This window comes from Homo sapiens, chromosome 12 (genome assembly GCF_000001405.40).
Source record: "Homo sapiens chromosome 12, GRCh38.p14 Primary Assembly".
NCBI classification, from domain to species: domain Eukaryota; kingdom Metazoa; phylum Chordata; class Mammalia; order Primates; family Hominidae; genus Homo; species Homo sapiens.
The window spans coordinates 53,367,559-53,388,268 of NC_000012.12; the positions used below are offsets into that span (position 1 = coordinate 53,367,559).

At 49.2% G+C, this 20,710-nt stretch overlaps 1 protein-coding gene across 3 annotated transcripts in view, besides 10 other annotated features; it reads left to right on the forward strand.

Annotated features, from left to right (window-relative positions):
- Positions 3,193 to 3,242: an enhancer, noted in NCBI's record as "active region_6417". NCBI's record gives its function as "activates an Ori minimal core promoter by ATAC-STARR-seq in GM12878 lymphoblastoid cells {active_cell/tissue: GM12878}" and the evidence as "EXISTENCE:reporter gene assay evidence [ECO:0000049][PMID:35858748]".
- Positions 3,363 to 3,632: an enhancer, noted in NCBI's record as "active region_6418". NCBI's record gives its function as "activates an Ori minimal core promoter by ATAC-STARR-seq in GM12878 lymphoblastoid cells {active_cell/tissue: GM12878}" and the evidence as "EXISTENCE:reporter gene assay evidence [ECO:0000049][PMID:35858748]".
- Positions 3,713 to 4,062: a silencer, noted in NCBI's record as "silent region_4508". NCBI's record gives its function as "represses an Ori minimal core promoter by ATAC-STARR-seq in GM12878 lymphoblastoid cells {active_cell/tissue: GM12878}" and the evidence as "EXISTENCE:reporter gene assay evidence [ECO:0000049][PMID:35858748]".
- Positions 11,711 to 12,211: an enhancer, noted in NCBI's record as "H3K27ac hESC enhancer chr12:53773053-53773553 (GRCh37/hg19 assembly coordinates)". NCBI's record gives its function as "activates a minimal SCP1, AML or CMV promoter by ChIP-STARR-seq in naive H9 embryonic stem cells {active_cell/tissue: H9 hESC(naive)}" and the evidence as "EXISTENCE:reporter gene assay evidence [ECO:0000049][PMID:30033119]".
- Positions 11,711 to 12,541: a biological region, named in NCBI's record as "Sharpr-MPRA regulatory region 10893".
- Positions 12,115 to 12,414: an enhancer, noted in NCBI's record as "active region_6419". NCBI's record gives its function as "activates an Ori minimal core promoter by ATAC-STARR-seq in GM12878 lymphoblastoid cells {active_cell/tissue: GM12878}" and the evidence as "EXISTENCE:reporter gene assay evidence [ECO:0000049][PMID:35858748]".
- Positions 12,247 to 12,541: an enhancer, noted in NCBI's record as "tiled region #10893; HepG2 Activating DNase matched - State 8:EnhW, and K562 Activating DNase unmatched - State 1:Tss". NCBI's record gives its function as "activates a minimal TATA promoter and a strong SV40 promoter by Sharpr-MPRA in HepG2 and K562 cells {active_cell/tissue: HepG2 | K562}" and the evidence as "EXISTENCE:reporter gene assay evidence [ECO:0000049][PMID:27701403]".
- SP1 (Sp1 transcription factor) overlaps positions 12,618 to 20,710 on the forward strand; it is a 36,271-nt gene continuing 28,178 nt past the window's right edge. The window contains exons 1-3 of one of the 3 annotated variants that reach the window (NM_138473.3): positions 12,618 to 12,740; positions 14,101 to 14,255; positions 14,552 to 16,064. In NM_138473.3, coding sequence (NP_612482.2) covers positions 12,734 to 12,740; positions 14,101 to 14,255; positions 14,552 to 16,064 — 1,675 coding nt within the window. In that variant the 5' untranslated portion in view covers positions 12,618 to 12,733. Of the gene's footprint in view, positions 12,741 to 13,085; positions 13,127 to 14,100; positions 14,256 to 14,551; positions 16,065 to 20,710 lie in introns of those variants that run through there. The other 2 variants (NM_001251825.2, NM_003109.1) reach the window with 2 other exon arrangements.
- Positions 12,655 to 13,284: a silencer, noted in NCBI's record as "silent region_4509". NCBI's record gives its function as "represses an Ori minimal core promoter by ATAC-STARR-seq in GM12878 lymphoblastoid cells {active_cell/tissue: GM12878}" and the evidence as "EXISTENCE:reporter gene assay evidence [ECO:0000049][PMID:35858748]".
- Positions 13,392 to 14,150: an enhancer, noted in NCBI's record as "H3K27ac hESC enhancer chr12:53774734-53775492 (GRCh37/hg19 assembly coordinates)". NCBI's record gives its function as "activates a minimal SCP1, AML or CMV promoter by ChIP-STARR-seq in primed H9 embryonic stem cells {active_cell/tissue: H9 hESC(primed)}" and the evidence as "EXISTENCE:reporter gene assay evidence [ECO:0000049][PMID:30033119]".
- Positions 14,563 to 14,812: an enhancer, noted in NCBI's record as "active region_6420". NCBI's record gives its function as "activates an Ori minimal core promoter by ATAC-STARR-seq in GM12878 lymphoblastoid cells {active_cell/tissue: GM12878}" and the evidence as "EXISTENCE:reporter gene assay evidence [ECO:0000049][PMID:35858748]".

Here is a 20,710-nt window from a genome sequence, read left to right on the forward strand (position 1 = left end):
GGGAGGCTGAGGCAGGAGAATTGCTTGAACCTGGGAGGCCGAGGTTGCGGTGAGCCGAGATCGCGTCATTGCACTCCAGCCTGGGCAACAAGAACGAAACTCTGTCTCAAAAAAAAAAAAATAAATAAAATAAAATAAAAAATTTAAAAAGTAAATAATAAATAAATAATAAAAAATAAAACTAGGGGCCAGGCGCAGTGGCTCACGCCTGTAATCCCAGCACTTTGGGAGGCTGAGGCAGGTGGATCACGAGGTCAGGAGTTCAAGCCCAGCCTGGCCAAGATGGTGAAACCCCATTTCTACTAAAAATACAAAAATTAGCCAGGTGTGGTGGTGGGTGCCTGTAATCCCAGCTACTAGGGAGGATGAGACAGAGAATTGCTTGAACCCAGGAGGGGGAGGTGGCAGTGAGCCAAGAATGTGCCACTGCACTCCAGCCTGGGTGACAGAGCGAGACTCCGTCTCAAAAAAAAAAAAAATTGAAGTTAAATAAAACTAATACAGTTGGGGCCAGGCATGGCAGTTCACGCCTCTAACTTTAGTACTTTGGGAGGCCAAGGCAGGAGGATATCGAGGCCAGGAGTTGAAGACCAGCCGCAGGGCAACAGAGTCAGACCTCATCTCTACAAAACTTAGAAAAATTAGCCGAGTGCAGCCGGGCGCAGCGGCTCAAGCCTGGAATCCCAGCACTTTGGGAGGCCGAGGTGGGCAGATCACGAAGTCAGGAGATCAAGACCATCCTGGCTAACACAGTGAAACCCCACCTCTATTAAAAATACAAAAAATTAGCCGGGCATGGTGGTGGGTGCCTGTGGTCCCAGCTGCTCAGGAGGCTGAGGCAGGAGAATGGCGTGAACCCGGGAGGTGGAGCTTGCAGTGAGCTGAGATCACGCCACCCCACTCCAGCCTGGGTGACAGAGTGAGACTCCATCTCAAAAAAAGAAAAAGAAAAATTAGCTGAGTGCAGGGGCGAGTGCCTGTAGTCTCAGCTAGTTAGGAGACTGAGGTGTGAGGATCACTTGAGCCCAGAAGTTGGAGGCTGCAGTGAGCTATGATCATGCAACTGCACTCCAGCCTGAGTGACAAAGTGAGATCCTGTCTCAGAAAAAAAAAAAATTGAAAAATTTAACCATTTGTACTGTTAAAAAATCATTTAGGGCTGGCTGGGCGCAGTGGCTCACGCTTGTAATCCCAGCACTTTGGGAGGCCGAGGCGGGTGGATCTCGAGGTCAGGAGTGTGAGACCAGCCTGACCAACATGAAGAAACCCGTCTCTACTAAAAATACAAAATTAGTCAGGTGTGGTGGCACATGCCTGTAATCCCAGCTACTCGGGAGGCTGAGGCAGAAGAATCACTTGAACCCGGGAAGCAGAGGATGCAGTTAACCCAAGGTTGCGCCATTGCACTCCAGCCTGGGCAACAAGAGTGAAACTCCATCTCAAAAAAAAAAAAAGGTGAGTTTTTTTGGTTTTGTTTTGCTTCGTTTTTTGTTTGTTTGTTTGTTTGTTTGTTTTTGAGACAGAGTCTGGCTCTGTCGCCCAGACTGGAGTGCAGTGGCGCGATCTCGGCTCATTGCAAGCTCCGCCTCCCGGGTTCAGGCCATTATCCTGCCTCAGCCTGCCAAGTAGCTGGGACCACGCCCGGCTAATTTTTTTTTGTATTTTTAGTAGAGATGGGGTTTCACCGTGTTAGCCAGGATGGTCTTGATCTCCTGACCTCGTGATCTGCCCGCCTTGGCCTCCCAAAGTGCTGGGATTACAAGTGTGAGCCACCGCACCCGGCCGGTGAGTTCTTGACCTGTGGCAGAAGGGCATTCTAGAAGACCACAACTGTGTGTGTATTAGTGCAATGTCACAGAGGAAGACACTTGGCTTTTTTTTTTTTTAAGACGGAGTTTCACTCTGTCGCCAGGCTTGAGTTCAGTGGCGTGATCTCAGCTCATGCAGCCTACACCTCCTGGGTTCAAGAGATTCCCCTGCCTCAGCCTCCTGAATAGCTGGGACTACAGGTGTGCACCACCACACCCGGCTAATGTTTCGTGTTTTTAGTAGAGACGGGGAAACTCCGTCTAAAAAAAAAATAAATAAATCATTTAAGGCCGGGCGCGGTGGCCCACGCCTGTAATCCCAGCACTTTGGGAGGCTGAGGCGGGCAGATCATGAGGTCAAGAGATGGAGACCATCCTGGCCAACATGGTGAAACACCGTCTCTAGCATGGCAACAGAGGGAGACTCCGTCTCAAAAAAAAATTATAATAATAATCATTTAGGCCGGGCACAGTGGCTCACGCCTGTAATCCCAGCACTTTGGGAGCCCGAGGCAGGCGGATCACGAGGTCAGGAGATCAAGACCATCCTGGCTAACATGGTGAAACCCCGTCTCTACTAAAAATACAAAAAAATTAGCCGCGCCTGGTGGCAGGCGCCTGTAGTCCCAGCTACTGGGAGGCTGAGGCAGGAGAATGGCGTGAATCCGGGAGGCGGAGCTTGCAGTGAGCCGAGATCGCGCCACTGGACTCCAGCCTGGGCGACAGAGCCAGACTCCATCTCAAAAAAATAAATAAATAAAATAATAATAATAATCATTTAAATCAGAAGAGAAGAAAATGAACCTAGAACACCCATCATCTGAACTTAGCAATTATTATTATTATTATTATTATTATTATTATTATTATTATTATTTTGAGACGGAGTTTCACTCTTGTTGCCCAGGCTGGAGTGCAATGGCGAGATCTCGGCTTACCGCAAACTCCGCCTTCTGGACTCAAGCGATTCTCCTGCCTCAGAGTCTCCAGAGTAGCTGGGTCTACAGGCACGTGCCACCTCACCCGGCTAATTTATTTTAGTAGAGAGGGGGTTTTGTCCTGTCAAGCGTGGTGGCTCACTCCTGTAATCTCAGCACTTTGGGAGCCCAAGGTGGGCGGATCACTTGAGCTCAGGAGTTCAAGACTAGCCTGGCCAACTTGGTGAAACCCTATCTCTATTAAAGATACAACAATTAGCAGGGCATGGTGCCTCACGCCTGTAATCCCAGCTACTCCAGAGGCTGAGACAGGAGAATTGCTTGAGCCCGGGAGGCAGAGGTAGCAAGGAGCCAAGATCGTGTCACTGCACTCCAGCCTGGTCAACAGAGCAAGACTCTGTCTCAAAATAAATAAATAAGTAAATAAATTCCACCAGTGGTCACTGCACACTTAGGGAAATGCTAAAGAAGTAGAATTGTAGTCAGGGAGTCCTGCCTCACCTGCCTTGAGACCTTGATCGGGCACACTTCTCAAGCTCTGTTTATTTCCTACCTTTGGAAAGGGATAATATATCTACAGATGTTAGTTATGAGTTTGTGAGTGACTGGAGAAATTCTTCCTGGGACACTCCCAGGGACCTTTGCCCAGGCACCTCTGATCGCCTACAGCGGCGGGGGAGGGGAGCGCAGAGCGCTGGCAGGAGGCGGTGAAGTTTAGTGCTTCTAAGCAGGGCATCTGGGTCGCAGGCAGTGGTGCGGAAAACCCCTCTTGGAGACAGAAGTCTGTGGCGCTCCTGTCCTCTCCCTCCTTCTCTCCACTATTTTCCTGGTCATACCAAGAAGGAACTAACATGGTGTTCCAGGGCCTTTCCCCTACAGGAGCCACCCACTCGCCCAGTTTTTCTCCCTGGGGGCAGTGAAGGCTTCCGGAAGAAGCGCTGAGAAGTCAGGTGTCAGGCCTCCACGAACTTCAGCTAGCTTCTTGGGCTCGAGGGAGGGAGGGCGCGCAAAGCCGGAAGGAGGGGTTTGCGGCTGGGGAGAGCCAGAGGGCCCACCCCTACCCGGAAACTGGGGGTGGAGAGGCCCCAGGCCAGCTCACGCCAGTCTTCCAGCTCCGGGCTGGGCCTGAGGCCGGCAAGCCCCACCCCATTCCTCTGGGCACCTCGTGGCCCGGGCAGGTTTGTTTACGAATCCGGCTCCCTCCTCCTCCAGCCCGGCCCTCCGCCCGCCCCCAGGGTGGCCCCAGTTCCGTGAGAGGGGGAAACAGAGCCAGCCCCTGGTCCGCTGCCCTCCTCTCGCCTCCCCTTCCCTTCCTTCCTCCAGCCTCTTCCTAGAATGCCCACGGAGGGCAGGTCCTTTTCCCACACCTGTCTGGGCCATGCTCCTTTTCTGGGAATGGGGTGGTGTCCCTTTCTCCTCAACTCTGGACTCTGGAGCGGACTCAGGGCTACTTGTCTCAGGAGACGAAGGAGAAAAGGAAACTGCTTCACTTCTGGTTAAAAGAGGAACTTTTTTTTTTTTTAAATGCTGAGCTGGGCCGGGCCGGGCCGGGCGTGGTGGTCCACGCCTGTAATCCCAGCACTTTGAGAGGCCAAGGCGCGCGGACCACTTGAGGTCAGGAGTTCGAGACCAGCCTGGCCAACATGTTGAAACCCTGTCTCTACTAAAAACACAAACATCAGCGGGACGTGGTGGCACACACCTGTAATCCCAGCTACTGGGGAGTCTGAGGCAGGAGAATCGCTTGAACCCTGGAGGCAGAGGTTGCAGTAAATGGAGATCGTGCCACTGTAGTCCAGCCTGTGCAACAGATTGAGACTCCATCTCAAAAAAAAAACAAAACTAAATGCTTAGCTGCCAGGCAGGACTTCATCCCACTTGGGGTGCAGGGGTCTGGGTTTGTGTGGGTACCACAGGGGTTAGTTGACATTAAGCACACCTTCCTCAGGGGTGTGGCAAGCCTAGGCTCCCTGAGAAGCCTTAGGGGTTTGGGTATTTGGGGAAGGGAAGGGAAATGTTTTAATTATGTGTTTGTTCCAAACTGGAATCCCTAGGGGTCAGATTTAAATGTTCAGGAAAGCTCTATGTTTGATCTATTTGGGGTATAAGCCAGTCTCTGACCCTCCTCAGTTCCCTGAGCCTCCCTTCTCCAGTTCTCAAGAAAGTAGATGGATTGTGAAACTTCCAGTCTCTCAGCAATCTCTCTTCCTCTTCCTCACCATGCCTCCAACTGCTGTTGGTTTTGTTTGGTAAAGGATCTTCCAGCTCCAGAGACCATCAGCTGGGCTTACGGTCAGGGAATATTAAAAAAGGTTGAGCCAGAGTTCAGCTCCAACAATAACTAAATTGTGTTCCTGACCATGCCTCCCAACCCTCAAACAAAAATTCTCATTTTACAACCAGCCTTTCTCCTTCAGGGCCTTCAAGACCACCAGAGCCACAGACTGCAGAGTCGAATGAATGCCTTCCTAGTATTACTAGGTGCAGCCTAGGCAGGGATGAATCACAATGCTTCTCAGATAAGGAAAGAAAGACACAGCAAAGGTACAGAATGAGTCATTTTATTTTATTTATTTATTTATTTATGAGATAGAGTCTCGCTCTGTCGCCCAGGCTGGAGTGCAGTGGCGCCATCTCGGCTCACTGCAAGCTCTGCCTCCCGGGTTCACGCCATTCTCCTGCCTCAGCCTCCCCAGCAGTTGGGACTACAGGTGCCTGCCACCATGTCCGGCTAATTTTTTTTTGTATTTTTAGTAGAGACGGGGTTTCACCACATTAGCCAAGATGGTCTCGATCTCCTGACCTTGTGATCCGCCCGCCTCGGCCTCCCAAAGCGCTGGGATTACAGGCGTGAGCCACCGCGCCCAGCTTACAACAGAATGAGTCACTTTAAATAATGTTAATAATAATAAAGAAAAGGCCTAGCGCGGTGGCTCATGCCTGTAATCCCAGCACTTTGGGAGGCCGAGGCGGGCGGATCACGAGGTCAGGAGATCGAGACCATCTTGGCTAACACGGTGAAACCCCGTCTCTACTAAAAATACAAAAAATTAGCCGGGCGAGGTGGCGGGCGCCTGTAATCCCAGCTACTCGGGAGGCTGAGGCAGGAGAATGGCATGAACCTGGGAGGCGGAGCTTGCAGTGAGCCGAGATAGTGCCACTGCAGTCCGGCCTGGGCGAAAGAGCGAGACTGTCTCTAAAAAAACAAAAAAAAAAGAATATTGGCCGGGCGCGGTGGCTCATAGCTGTAATCCCAGGACTTTGGGAGGCCGAGGCGGGTGGATCATCTGAGGTCAGGAATTGGAGACCAGCCTGACCAACATGGAGAAACCCCATCTCTACTAAAAAAATACAAAATTAGCCGGGCATGGTGGTGCATGCCTGTAATCCCAGCTACTCAGGAGGCTGAGGCAGGAGAATCACTTGAACCCGGGAGGTGGAGGTTGCAGTGAACTGAGATTGCGCCATTGCACTTCAGCCTGGGCAACAAGAGCAAAACTCTGTCTCATAAAAACAAACAAAGAAACAAACACAAAAAAGATTATCAGCAACCAGTTAACAGCAGCCAGTACTGAATTTCTCACAAGTTCTGGGCTTGCCAACCAGAAAGAAGCCTGTCTTGTTTCAGTTTCTTTTTGGATCAGTTTCTTGCTTTTCCAGGGCTCTTAAAAGACTTCCGGGGATGTATGTGATGTTCCATCCAGCTTCTATAGTCCTAATTGCACTGAATGATCCTAGCCTGCTTATCACAAGCTTCTGATGTGAAAAGTCTAGGCTTGTTTTCTTGTTCAGAGAGGTGGAAAGTAAGGGTTTAGAAGACTGCAAGACTTTACTGTTTTGTCAAAAGACTCTCTTCTTTTCTAGCCTCCTTTAATCTAGAGTAGGCAGGACAGGTAAAAGAAATTTCAGTTAGTCCACTTTGTACTCAGCTGTAGTTGAGAGTTTGATGGAGTTTCATTCTTGTTGCCCAGGCTAGAGTGCAATGGCGCAACGTTGGCTCACTGCAACCTCCACCTCCGGGGTGCAAGCGACTCTCCTGCCTCAGCCTCCTTTGTAGCTGGGATTACAGGCATGCGCCACCACGCCTGGGTAATTTTGTATTTTTAGTAGAGATGGGGTTTCTCCATGTTGGTCAGGCTGGTCTCGAACTGCCAACCTCAGGTAACCCGCCTGCCTCAGCCTCCCAAAGTGTTGGGATTACAGGGGTAAGCCACCGCGCCCGGCCTGTAAAATGTTCTTAATTATCAGATTCCTAAATGGGAGACTGAAAAAAGCTGAGGATTGGGTTCAAAATCAGGAAGAGGCCCGGTGGCTCATGCCTGTAATTCCAACACTGTGGGAGGCTGAGACGGGCGGATCACTTGAGGTCAGGAGTTTGAGACCAGCCTGGCCAACATGGTGAAACCCCCATCTCTACTAAAAATAACAAAATTAGCCAGGGGTGGTGGCATGTGCCTGTAGTTCCAGCTACCTCGGAGGCTGAAGTGGGAGAATTACTTGAACCTGGGAGACGGAGGTTGCAGTGAGCCCATATCCTGCCACTGCACTCTACCCTGGGCGACAGAGGGAGACTCCATCTCAAAATAAAACAAACAAACAAACAAAAATTAGGAAGAATGATTTAACTTTTATAAGGCACCCAAATGAAAGCTGAGAATCAATCTTAGTATTATATCTGGAGACTATTCAGGATGGTCAGGATTAGGCTTCCCCTCCCATTTAACAAAAATGTTTACTGGGACTCAACTATATTCCAGGCCCTGAGAATCCAAAGTGAAAAGGCATCATCCCTGCCCTCAAATCGCTTAATGTAGTTGGGGAGACAGGATACTTAGATACCTCTAATGGTGGCAAATAAAAGGAGCACAGTGGCCAGTGTATTCAATAACTGAGGGGGGTAGGAAAGGCTTCATAGAAGTCATTCTTATAAAAGATATGAATTTGGCCGGGTGCAGTGGCTCACGCCTGTAATCCCAGCACTTTGGGAGGCCAAGGCAGGTGGATCACAAGGTCAAGAGATCAAGACCATCCTGGCCAACATGGTGAAAACCTGTCTCTACTAAAAATACCAAAATTAGCTGGGTGTGGTGGCGTGCGCCTGTAGTCCCAGCTACTTGGGAGGCTGAGGCAGGAGAATCGCTTGAGCCCAGGAGGCGGAGGTTGCAGTGAGCCAAGATCACGCCACTGCACTCCAGCCTGGCAACAGAGCGAGACCCTGTACCCCCAACAAAAAAAAATGGTTGGGCCCGGTGGCTCATGCCTGTAATCCCAGCACTTTGGGAGGCCGAGGTGGGCGGATCACGAGGTCAAGAAATCGAGACCATCCTGGCTAACATGGTGAAACCCCGTCTCTACTAAAAATACAAAAAATTAGCCAGGCGTGGTGATGGGTGCCTGTAGTCCCAGCTACTCAGTAGGCTGAAGCAGGAGAATAGCGTGAACCCGGGAGGCAGAGCTTGCAGTGAGCCGAGATCGCGCCACTGCACTCCAGTGTGGGCCATAGAGCGAGACTCTGTATAGAAAAAAAAAAGATACGAATTTTAAGCAGGGCATGGTGGCTCGTGCTTGTAATCCCAGCACTTTGGGATTGAGCTCAGGAGTTCAACACCAACTGGGCCACATAATGAGATCTCAACAAAACATCAAAAAGTTAACCAGGTAGCCAGGTGCAGTGCCTCACACCTGTAATCGCAGCACTTTGGGAGGCTGAGGCGGGCAGATCAACTCAGGTCAGGAGTTCAAGATCAGCCTGGCTAACATGGTGAAACCCTGTCTCTACTAAAAATACAAAAATTAGCCAGGCATGGTGGCACATGTCTGTAGTCCCAGCTACAAGGGACGCTGAGGCAGAAAGAATTGCTTCAATCTGAAAGGCAGAGGTTGCAGTGAGCCAAAGTCGCGCCACTGCACTCCAGCCTGGGAAACAGGGCAAGACTCCGTCTCAGGAAAAAAAAAAATTGCCGGGCGCAGTGGCTCACACCTGTAATCCCAGCACTTTGGGAGGCCGAGGTGGGCAGAGGATCACCTGAGGTCAGGAGTTTGAGATCAGCCTGGCCAACATGATGAAATCTCATCTCTACTAAGATACAAAAATTAGCCAGGCATAGTGGCGTGCACCTGTAATCCTAGCTACTTGGGAGGCTGAGGCAGGAGAATCACTTGAACCTGGGCGGCAGAGGTTGCAGTGAGCTGAGATCGCACCACTGCACTCCAGGCTTGGAGACAGAGTGAGACTCTCAAAAAAAAAAAAGAAAAGATAGACACTGCGTGTGTGCATGTAAGGGATCTGAATAGCCTTGATATAAGTTGGTTTTTTTGTTTTTGTTTTTTTTTTTCAGTCTAAAGAACACTTTTTCAGGTTTTTACAGAGCAATTGGACAAGATGGATCATGTCATTCATTTGCTCTCAGGGACTATCAATAAACTAGTATACGTCTAGGGCATTCCTCACTGGCCTCATGCTGAATTGTCTTCTTCTGGAGGAGCAAAGGGGAAAGGATTGTAAAAAGGATGATGGCTATTGAATTTCTGAATTTAGGTCTTTTTGTCAGTTTAATTTTATCCTAATTCCCAATTCGGGTGTAGTCTAGGACTATGGAAAAAACACAGGCTTTGGAACTAAACAGAACAGTCATAATTTAACTAAAATATCTGAGCCTCAGTTTTCTCATCTGTAAAAGGGGACAACTATCTCTTAAATTGGTAGGAATAATTAAATTAGATAAATATGTGAAATGTTTAGAATACTCCTCCACGGTGTTAAGTTTCCTCTCCCTACCTCCACCCCTAAGCAAGTTTAGGTATGGACAGTTGCTGAATGGACTAAACAGCTATTAGAATCTTCAGAGCTTGGTTTACAAAGATGAGTAATGCAGTTTCTTCCTTCCAGGAAATTTCTCCCTTTCTGGAAGTTTCTTTTCCCCAGTTTCTTCTCTTGGTGTTTTTGTTTTGTTTTGTTTTCTTTTCTTTTCTTTGAGACCAAATCTTGCTCTGTCGCCCAGGCTGGAGTGCAGTGGCATGATCCCCGGTCACTGCAACCTCCGCCTCTAGGTTCAAGCGATTTTCCTGCTTCAGCCTTCCGAGTAGCTGGGACTATAGGCATGCACCACCACGCCCGACTAATTTTTGTATTTTTAGTAGAGATGGGGTTTCACCATGTTGGTCAGGCTGGTCTCGAACTCCTGACCTCCAGTGATCTGCCCGCCTCTGCCTGCCAAAATGCTGGGATTACAGGCATGAGCCACTGCGCCCAGCCTTCTTGGTGTGTTTTAAACTAGGTTTAGGGCCTAATCACTTGAAAGAGCTACTTAAAAATAGGTTTAGGGTGGAAATCTAGGAATCTGCCTTTTTTGAAAAAAGAACCCAGAGGATTCTGAGAGTGTGTGACATTTCATTTTGAGAAACCTTGATACAGTGAGAGATGAAATTAATTGTCATGTATTCTGATAAATTTTATAATAAAGGTATCTAAGAGGATGATGCCATTTGATCCGTCCTGGGAGTAGGCTTTTTTTTTTTTTTTTCAGGAGCTAGACAGTAAAAATTAAAAAGCATCTATATATTTACTTTTTTTTTTTTCTTTGAGATGGAGTTTCACTGTCGTTGCCCAGGCCCGAGTGCAATGGCACGATCTTGGCTCACTACAACTTCTGCCTCCTGGATTCAAGCGATTCTCCTGCCTCAGCCTCCCAAGTGGCTGGGATTACAGACATGTCCCACCATGCCTGGCTAGTTTTATATTTTTAGTAGAGACGGGGTTTCTCCATGTTGGTCAAGCTGGTCTTGAACTCCTGACCTCAGGTGATCCGCCTGCCTCGGCCTCCCAAAATGCTGGGATTACAGGCATGAGCCACCGCGCCCAGTCTATATATTTACTTATTTTGGAGCAAGGTCTTGCTTTGTTGTCCTGGCTGGAGTGCAGTGGCAGGATTTGAGCTCACTGCAGCCTCAACCTCCTGGGTTCAAGCGATTCTTCCACCCCAGCCTCCCGAGTAGCTGGGACTACTGGCGCACATCACCACGTCTGGCTAATTTTTGTTATTTTTTGTGGAGACGGGGTTTCACCATGTTGCCCAGGCTGGTCTTTAACTCCTGGGCTCAAGCGATCCGCCCGCCTCGGCCTCCCATAGTGCTGGGATTACAGGTCTGAGCCATTGCGCCCGGCGGCAGTTTAATTCCCTCAAGAATTTATAGAAAACTTTTGGTGGAACTATTCTGGGTTGGAATCTAACACTACAACTCATTTGCTTTGTGACCTTGGGTAAGTCACTTCTCAGCCTAAATGTCTTCACTTATAAAATACATAATATAGCTGATACTTAATAAAATCTTCCTTTTAAGGATGACATGGAATACTAACTGCCTCCCTGACTTAGGCACCTAACACGGTAGGCAGTCAGCAATCACTTCACCTTTTTACCTGTTTAAAGCAGCAGAGGCCTCAGTTCTTACCTTCAAAGGGCTTAAAATAGTTTAGGAGAATTCACATTTTAAAACATAAGAACATATAAGCAGGTGACAACATATAAGATACAAATACTGAAGGACATGACCTCATCGTGTCATTGACAAGCTATTAAGGCCGGCTCCACCAAAACACGGATAAAGAGGAGGCCAGAAATCCAGGTGCCTGCAGTAAAGTTTCTTAACCTTCGTGATTGCAAAAAGCTGGAGCTCAGCTATCTTGCTTTATGCATAGGCGGTATTTACTATTAAGGGGGAAAAAATGGAAGTGACTTATCCGCACTTTAGCCTCAAGGCTTGAAAAGTTAACCAGTCGTTTAAGTGGTTAGCGCCTTTGTCTGGGGGAACTTAATAAAATCGCGTTTTCTGGAGTCTCACGGAGACTCTGCATATTGGTCAGCTCAGTATTAACTTATTCGGTGAGTGCTGTCACCAGATCTCGTCCCGCCTGCATTCCCAGGGCTTGCAGCGACATTGAGGCATCTGCCCGCCTGTCCGACCACCCGGGAGGGGGGTAAGATTTGAGAGGTACTTTATAGGGGCAGTTAAATGAAGACGCAAACAAGTCCTAGTGTTGATGCGGAACTGCGCGCCGAATGCCTTGGCTCTGACACCTGTTGAGCTGCAGGACTCCGCTAAAGCGTCCCACCTAATGACTGTAACAACGTCCCCTGAGGAGGGCCAATATGGCGACGGTCTCCTCTTGGCATAGCCCTCTTCCCTCCCTCATGATGGGCAGCTCCAGTAACGCCCATTGGCTAACTAGGAGGCGGTGCCAGGCCTACTTCGTCCCCTCATTGGATTGAATAACTGAGGGAGCCGCCAATTCTCCTCTGCCACTCCAAGTTTCCGCCCTCAGTTAATTCGGCGTTTAATTGGCTTTTAGTTCACGTCAATATGCGTCCTTTCCTGTCTCTTTTCAGTCTAACTCCAATCATAACGTTCCTGGCTGCCCGCCTGATTTCTGATTGGTTTTAATCAGCTTCATCCTCTCCTATTCCTGCCTACTTCTTACCTCTCCGCCCACTAGGATTTTGCCCAAGCATATCCCGGATTCTGGTTGGCCGTTGTTCTGTCATTCCTATCAAAGCTTTGCCTATCCCTACGTCTCAGGGAGCCCGCCTGCCGGTTGACTGGTTTCCTTCCAAGCCAATCATCTCCAGCTCCCGCCCATCTTCACTTCCTGCATCCTTCATTGGCTTTTAACACTGAGAGGGCGGTCTTTTTAGGCGGACACCAGGCACGCAACTTAGTCTCACACGCCTTGGAGAGCAAGCGAGTCTTGCCATTGGATAATTCCACCGTCTTTCTTCTGCAAGTCCCTCCTTTCCCCCTCCCTCATTGGGCGGGGCAGCAGAGAAGGGGCGGGGCCTAGGTTGGGCTTGTGGCGCGCTGCTCCCTCCTCCTTACCCCCCCCTCCCTGTCCGGTCCGGGTTCGCTTGCCTCGTCAGCGTCCGCGTTTTTCCCGGCCCCCCCCAACCCCCCCGGACAGGACCCCCTTGAGCTTGTCCCTCAGCTGCCACCATGAGCGGTAAGGATGAGTCCACTCCAAGCTTAGGGGTGGGAGGCGAGTGAGGGGGCGCGCGCGAGGGCCGACCGGGCGATCCCCGCCGTGAAGCGGGGGCGGGCGGGAGGCGGCGGCGGCGGCGGCCTAGGTCCCGCCCGGGGCGGAGGGAAGGGAGGGAGACGGGGCAGTGGCGGGGCCTCCGAGGAGGAGGGGGATGGGCCGCCCGCCCCGGGGGAGGGGGCAGCGTGGCCTCGCCCGCCCCCTGCCCGCCCCGGCCACGGGGGACGGGCCTTACCCCCCACTACTCGGCCGCCCGCCTGAGGCTCCTCCCGCCGGGGGCTGGAGCCGCGGGGGCGGCCCGAGCAGCGAAGGCCCCGCCCGGGCCAACCGCCTGCCTGGTCCGCCCTCTGGTCGCCGCCTGCTCCAAGGCCCTCCTCCCCCCACTTTCCGTAGATTTCCCTTCCCCCCCGCCCCCCACCGTCCCGCCCTTTCCACGCCCCTCACCCCGAAACCGCCCTTTCCCTCAGGGCCCGCCCTCCGCCCCGAAACCTTCTGACTACTAACCTGTAGATCCCTTTAGTTCCTTAGCAGTATTCACAAATGTTTTTCTACTCACACTTTTTACTTCTTTTTCCCCTCTCGTTACTTTTCACACTTGGATTTTTGTTTGTCTTTTTTTTTTTTTTTTTTTTTGAGACGGAGTTTTCGCTCTTGTTACCCAGACTGGAATGCAATGGTGCGATCTCGGCTCACTGCAACCTCTGCCTCCCGGATTCAGGCGATTCTCCTGCCTCAGCCTCCGGGAGTAGCTGGAATTACAGGCATGCGCCACCACACCCGGCTAATTTTGTATTTTTAGTAGAGACAGGGTTTCTCCATGTTGGTCAGGCTGGTCTCAAAACTCCCGACCCCAGGTGATCTGCCTGCCTCCGCCTCCCAAAGTAATGGGATTACAGGCGTGACCACCGCGCCTGGCCTCTCCATCTCTTTTAAACTTAATTTTAGCAAGCTTTCCATGCACCCACATGTTGTTTTATGCCTTACCTGTCCTTTTCCTTTTTTTCCCTTAGGATACTTTTTCTTATTTAGAAACTCTCACCATGCCTACCGTCCTTCACATTTCCTATCCCCAAAGCACTTTTTGAATGTTTTCTTAGTTTAATTTTGTACAAGGGAGAATTAAGGCCCACTTTTGGCACATTGAACCTAGTTCATGTCCTGCATGCCCTGCAGCTCCCCTCTGCCCTCCAATCCATTTTCTTTATACTGGTGGCTTTCGCCTTCCTGTTAGTCATTGCTATTTCATCATAGCCTCCTTTTATCCTTCCTACTTCATTTCTTTTCTTCCCTCAAGTTTACGTTGTTTGTTTTTTAATTATTTTAGACCAAGATCACTCCATGGATGAAATGACAGCTGTGGTGAAAATTGAAAAAGGAGTTGGTGGCAATAATGGGGGCAATGGTAATGGTGGTGGTGCCTTTTCACAGGCTCGAAGTAGCAGCACAGGCAGTAGCAGCAGCACTGGAGGAGGAGGGCAGGTAAGTGATAATCATAGAGTGGGGAAGGTGTTGAGAAGATGTAAATATTCTTAGATAATTGCCTTACTCTTCACAGAAAGCGTTTTAGGGAGAGACTAAACCATTTTATAGATAAGGAAGTAAGAGAATGGAGATCCCCAAAGACAAAGGAGTTTCAGCAATACAGATAGGTCAGCTTTTTGTTTCTGTTTTTTGCTCCTTGTCTGCACTACGTTGCTGTTTATTTGTTGTATACTGCCCCCTAGGCTGGCAGCTGGGTGTCACTAACTCCTTTCCTCTCCCTTATTTTCGGCCAGGAGTCCCAGCCATCCCCTTTGGCTCTGCTGGCAGCAACTTGCAGCAGAATTGAGTCACCCAATGAGAACAGCAACAACTCCCAGGGCCCGAGTCAGTCAGGGGGAACAGGTGAGCTTGACCTCACAGCCACACAACTTTCACAGGGTGCCAATGGCTGGCAGATCATCTCTTCCTCCTCTGGGGCTACCCCTACCTCAAAGGAACAGAGTGGCAGCAGTACCAATGGCAGCAATGGCAGTGAGTCTTCCAAGAATCGCACAGTCTCTGGTGGGCAGTATGTTGTGGCTGCCGCTCCCAACTTACAGAACCAGCAAGTTCTGACAGGACTACCTGGAGTGATGCCTAATATTCAGTATCAAGTAATCCCACAGTTCCAGACCGTTGATGGGCAACAGCTGCAGTTTGCTGCCACTGGGGCCCAAGTGCAGCAGGATGGTTCTGGTCAAATACAGATCATACCAGGTGCAAACCAACAGATTATCACAAATCGAGGAAGTGGAGGCAACATCATTGCTGCTATGCCAAACCTACTCCAGCAGGCTGTCCCCCTCCAAGGCCTGGCTAATAATGTACTCTCAGGACAGACTCAGTATGTGACCAATGTACCAGTGGCCCTGAATGGGAACATCACCTTGCTACCTGTCAACAGCGTTTCTGCAGCTACCTTGACTCCCAGCTCTCAGGCAGTCACGATCAGCAGCTCTGGGTCCCAGGAGAGTGGCTCACAGCCTGTCACCTCAGGGACTACCATCAGTTCTGCCAGCTTGGTATCATCACAAGCCAGTTCCAGCTCCTTTTTCACCAATGCCAATAGCTACTCAACTACTACTACCACCAGCAACATGGGAATTATGAACTTTACTACCAGTGGATCATCAGGGACCAACTCTCAAGGCCAGACACCCCAGAGGGTCAGTGGGCTACAGGGGTCTGATGCTCTGAACATCCAGCAAAACCAGACATCTGGAGGCTCATTGCAAGCAGGCCAGCAAAAAGAAGGAGAGCAAAACCAGCAGACACAGCAGCAACAAATTCTTATCCAGCCTCAGCTAGTTCAAGGGGGACAGGCCCTCCAGGCCCTCCAAGCAGCACCATTGTCAGGGCAGACCTTTACAACTCAAGCCATCTCCCAGGAAACCCTCCAGAACCTCCAGCTTCAGGCTGTTCCAAACTCTGGTCCCATCATCATCCGGACACCAACAGTGGGGCCCAATGGACAGGTCAGTTGGCAGACTCTACAGCTGCAGAACCTCCAAGTTCAGAACCCACAAGCCCAAACAATCACCTTAGCCCCAATGCAGGGTGTTTCCTTGGGGCAGACCAGCAGCAGCAACACCACTCTCACACCCATTGCCTCAGCTGCTTCCATTCCTGCTGGCACAGTCACTGTGAATGCTGCTCAACTCTCCTCCATGCCAGGCCTCCAGACCATTAACCTCAGTGCATTGGGTACTTCAGGAATCCAGGTGCACCCAATTCAAGGCCTGCCGTTGGCTATAGCAAATGCCCCAGGTAAGATTTCCAATCTTGTGCATTTATTGGGAACCAACTCTAGCATCGTAGCTGAAACTTGAGTCTAAAGAAAGGAATAGAGCCTTTTGAGATAACACTTTCTTGAGGGTTAGTCATTTAGGCAAATAAATTTGAGAAATAGAGATTCTGTTTAAGTAATTTGGAACTGAAGTAAAGGAAACTTCTCCAGTTAGTTTGAGGAAGGAGCACTTCTGGGCAATATTCTGGAGTCTGTAATACTCAGTGTTTTTGGTGCTGCAGAATAATGGTTGACAAGCTTTCTGTAAAGGGCCAGATAGTAACGTAAATATTTTAGACATTGTGGGCCTCATGTGGTCACATTTTCTTTTCTTTTTTTTTTTTTTGAGACAGAGTCTTGCTCTGTCATCCAGGCTGGAGTGCAGTGGCGCGATCTCGGCTCACTGCAAGCTCCGCCTCCCAGGTTCACGCCATTCTCCTGCCTCAGCCTCCCGAGTGGCTGGGACTACAGGTGCCTGCCACCACGCCCGGGTAATTTTTTGTATTTTTAGTAGAGACGGGGTTTCACCATGTGAGCTAGGATGGTCTCGATCTCCTGACCTCGTGATCCGCCCGCCTCGGCCTCCCAAAGTGCTGGGATTACAGGCGTGAGCCACCGCGCCCGGCTTTCTTTTCTTTTTTTTCTTTTTTCTTTTTTTTTTGAGATGGAGTCTTACTCTGTTACCCAGGCTGGAGTGCAGTGGCGTGATCTCGGCTCACTGCAACCTCTGCCTCCCGGGTTCAAGCGATTCTCTTGCCTGGGCTTCTTGAGTAGCTGGGATTGCAGGCGAGCACCACCACGCCCAGCTAATCTTTGTATTTTTAGTAGAGACAAGGTTTTGCTATGTTGGCCAGGCTGGTCTCGAACTCCTGACCTCATGTGAATCCACCTGCCTCGGCCTCCCAAAGTGCTGGGATTATAGGTGTGAGCCACTGCACCCAGCCACATTTTCTGTTTTGTATGTTTTTTTTCCACACCCCTTTAAAAATGTAAAACCATTCTTAGCTCTAAGGCCTTCTTTGGCCTGTAGGCCAACTCCTCCATAGGATAAAAATTGATTATGGGCCGGGTGTGGTGGCTCACGCCTGTAATGCAGGCACTGAGAAGACGAGGCAGGTGGATGGGTTGAGTTCAGGAGTTCAAGACCGGCTGGGGCAACATGGCGAAACCCTGTCTTCGACAAAAATACAAAAATTGGCCGGGTGTGGTGGTACATGCCTATGGGCCCAGCTACTCGGGAGGCTAAGGCATGAGAATTGCTTGAATCTGGGAGGCAGAGGTTGCAGTGAGCCAAGATTGCACCACTGCACTCCAGCCTGGGCAACAGAGTGAGACTCTGAAAAAAAAAAAAAATACAAAAATTAGTCGGGTGGCTGGGCACGGTGGCTCACGCCTGTAATCCCAGCACTTTGGGAGGCTGAGGTGGGTGGGTCACCTGAGGTCAGGAGTTCAAGACCAGCGTGGCCAGCATGGCGAAACCCCTTCTCTACTAAAAATAAAAAAATTAGCCAGGCATGGTGATGCGCGCCTGTAGTCCCAGCTACTCAGGAGGCTGAGGCCAAGAATTGCTTGAACCTGGGAGGCAGAGGCTGCAGTGAGCCGAGATCACATCACTGCACTCCAGCCTGGTTGACAGAGCAAGACCCTGTCTCAAAAAATAAAAATAAAAGGCGGCCGGGCGCGGTGGCTCACGCCTGTAATTCCAGCACTTTGGGAGGCCGAGGCGGGTGGATCACAAGGTCAAGAGATCGAGACCATCCTGGCTAACACTGTGAAACCCTGTCTCTACTAAAAATACAAAAAATTAGCTGGGCATGGTGGCGCGCACCTGTAGTCCCAGCGACTCAGGAGCCTGAGGCAGGAGAATCACTTGAACCAGGGAGGCGGAGGTTGCAATGAGCCGAGATCGCGCCACTGCACTCCAGCCTGGGTGACAGAGCGAGACTCCGTCTCAAAAAAAAAAAAAATAAATAAAAATAAATTTGATTATGGGCTGGGCGCGGTGGCTCACGCCTATAATCCCAGCACTTTGGGAGGCCGAGGTGAACAGATCATGAGGTCAGGAGTTCAAGACCAGCCTGACCAATATGGTGAAACCCCGTCTCTACTAAAAATACAAAAATTAGCCGGGCGTGGTGGTACAAGCCTGTAGTCCCAGCTACTTGGGAGGCTGAGGCAGGAGAATCGCTTGAACCTGGGAGGCAGAGCTTGGAGCGAGCCAAGATCGTGCCACTGCACTCCAGCCTGGGTGACAGAGTGAGACTCCGTCTCAAAAAAAAAAAAAAAATTGATTATGAATTTTACCTGTTTGTAGAACACAGATTAAATCATCAGATATTTCTTGTGAACTGTAACTCCTAATTGAAGGGAAAATGATCTAACGGGTTGCTTTTCAACGAAGTAAGTTCCCTGGTTAGTATTAACCAGAATATCCCACACTCTGAGTGTGCTGGTTAATCAGGATTGAATTTTTTTTTAACTCCTAGTTATCTGAAAAACAAAATCCCATAGCTTCCCTTCACACTAACATATGAGCATCCTAGGTGATTCTGATACTTCTAGGTAGCAGTCTAACTTCCTAGACTGCTTTGAAAGTACTGTGTGTGGTTAGGAAGGGAGAAGGAAAGGGAGTGGGGTAAGTTGGGGTCTGGAATGGAGTGGGGGATGTAGGATTGAGAAGAGTTAGGAATGAGGAGAGCATTGAAGGGAAAAACAGTCTGGGAAGAATATTGAATCTGTTGACCATAATGTTCAGGGTCTTTCATTTTGAACTAAATGTTTCACTATTAATTTGAAATTTAAAACAGTAAACAGATGTAAGTCTATGTAGACTGTATCTTTTTTTTTTTTTTTTTTTCATTTTTGAGACTGAGTCTTGCTCTGTTGCCCAGGCTGTAGTGAGTGGAGTGGTGCAATCTCCGCTCACTGCAACCTCCCCTTCCTGAGTTCCAGTGATTCTCCTGCCTCAGCCTCCCAGGTAGCTGGGATTACAGGCGTGTGCCACCATGCCCGCCTAATTGTTTGTTTAATGGAGACGGGGTTTCACTGTGTTGACCAGGCTGGTCTCGAACTCCTGACCTCAAGTGATCTGCCTGCCTTGGCCTCCCAAACTGCTGGGATTACAGGTGTGAGCCACTATGCCCGGCCTGACTTTATCATTTTAAATTCCATTGTATGGAGCTAATCTTTAATAAAGCACAATAAAAGGATACACATACATCTTTATATGCTGGCACAATTATACAAATACGGAAAATAGTTTAATATCACCAAATAATATCACCCAACTTCTAGGTTTGTTTTTTTTTTTTTTTTCGTTTTCTTTTTTGGGACTGACTCTAGCTTGTCTCCCAGGCTGGAGTGCAGTGGTGCGATCTTGGCTCACTGCAACCTCTGCCTTCCGGGTTCAAGCAATTCTTCTGCCTCAGCCTCCCGAGTAGCTGGGATTACAGGCACGTCCCACCATGCCCATTAATTTTTTGTATTTTTTTAGTAGCGATTGGATTTCACTGTGCTGGTCAGGCTGGTCTCGAACTCCTGACCTCGTGATCCGCCCGCCTTGGCCTCCCAAAGTGCTGGGATTACAGGCGTGAGCCACTGCGCCTGGCCACTTCTAGTTCTTTTGGCATATATATGTGGGTTTATAAATTGTTTACTTTTGTTACCAAGTTCTCATTCCATTTAACTGATTCTTACATAAGTGAGGGTAGCAAATAGGCAACCATATTTCCTGCCTCCTGCAGTTTTGGTAAATCTAGGGGGAAAGTCTGCTTAAGTTCCCTGATTTCTTACATTCCTGTGGTGTGTTTAGAAATACTACATGTTGAGCTTTAACAAGACAGTAATTTTCTTAGTTAATTGAAATCTTAGAATTGAAAGTTAGAGCTGGAAGGGACTGAAGTTATTTAGTACAACTGCCTTATTTTCTAGATGAGGAAATTGAGGTACAGAGAATCACTTAATGAGACAACAGCCAGAGCTGAGGCTAGTTTTACTAGTCTAGGGTGCAACCTGTTTTAACTAGGGACTTGAACAATTCTTTAGATTGTTAAAAATGTATTCGAGCCAGCCTGGTGGCTCACGCCTGTAATCCCAGCACTTTGGGAGACTGAGACAGGCGGATCATGAGGTCAGGAGATCAAGACCATCCTGGCTAACATGGTGAAACCGCATCTCTACTAAAAATACAAAAAAATTAGCTGGGCGTGGTGGTGGGTGCCTGTAATCTCAGCTACTAGGGAGGCTGAGGCAGGAGAATGATGTGAACCTGGGAGGCAGAGCGTGCAGTGAGCTGAGATTGTGCCACTGCACTCCAGCCTGGGTGACAGAGCGAGACTCCGTCTCAAAAAAAAAAAATGTATTCGAAAAGGTGTTTTTGATTTAAGATTTAATGCTCTAAAACTGACAGATGTTTATAAAACATTTATAAAAATGTTTTATAAACTAAACATTTATGGGAATAGAAATGGGAAAAGTTTTATAAAAACTGACCTCTACAACGTAGAAAATTAGACACTTCTGGGCAACCTACACCATCATGTTTATTTTCTATTTGCTCTTAGATTGAAGTGCCCGGTTTTGCTCTTCTTCAGAGCAAACTGTGGGATTATTCCTGTTAATAATTTGG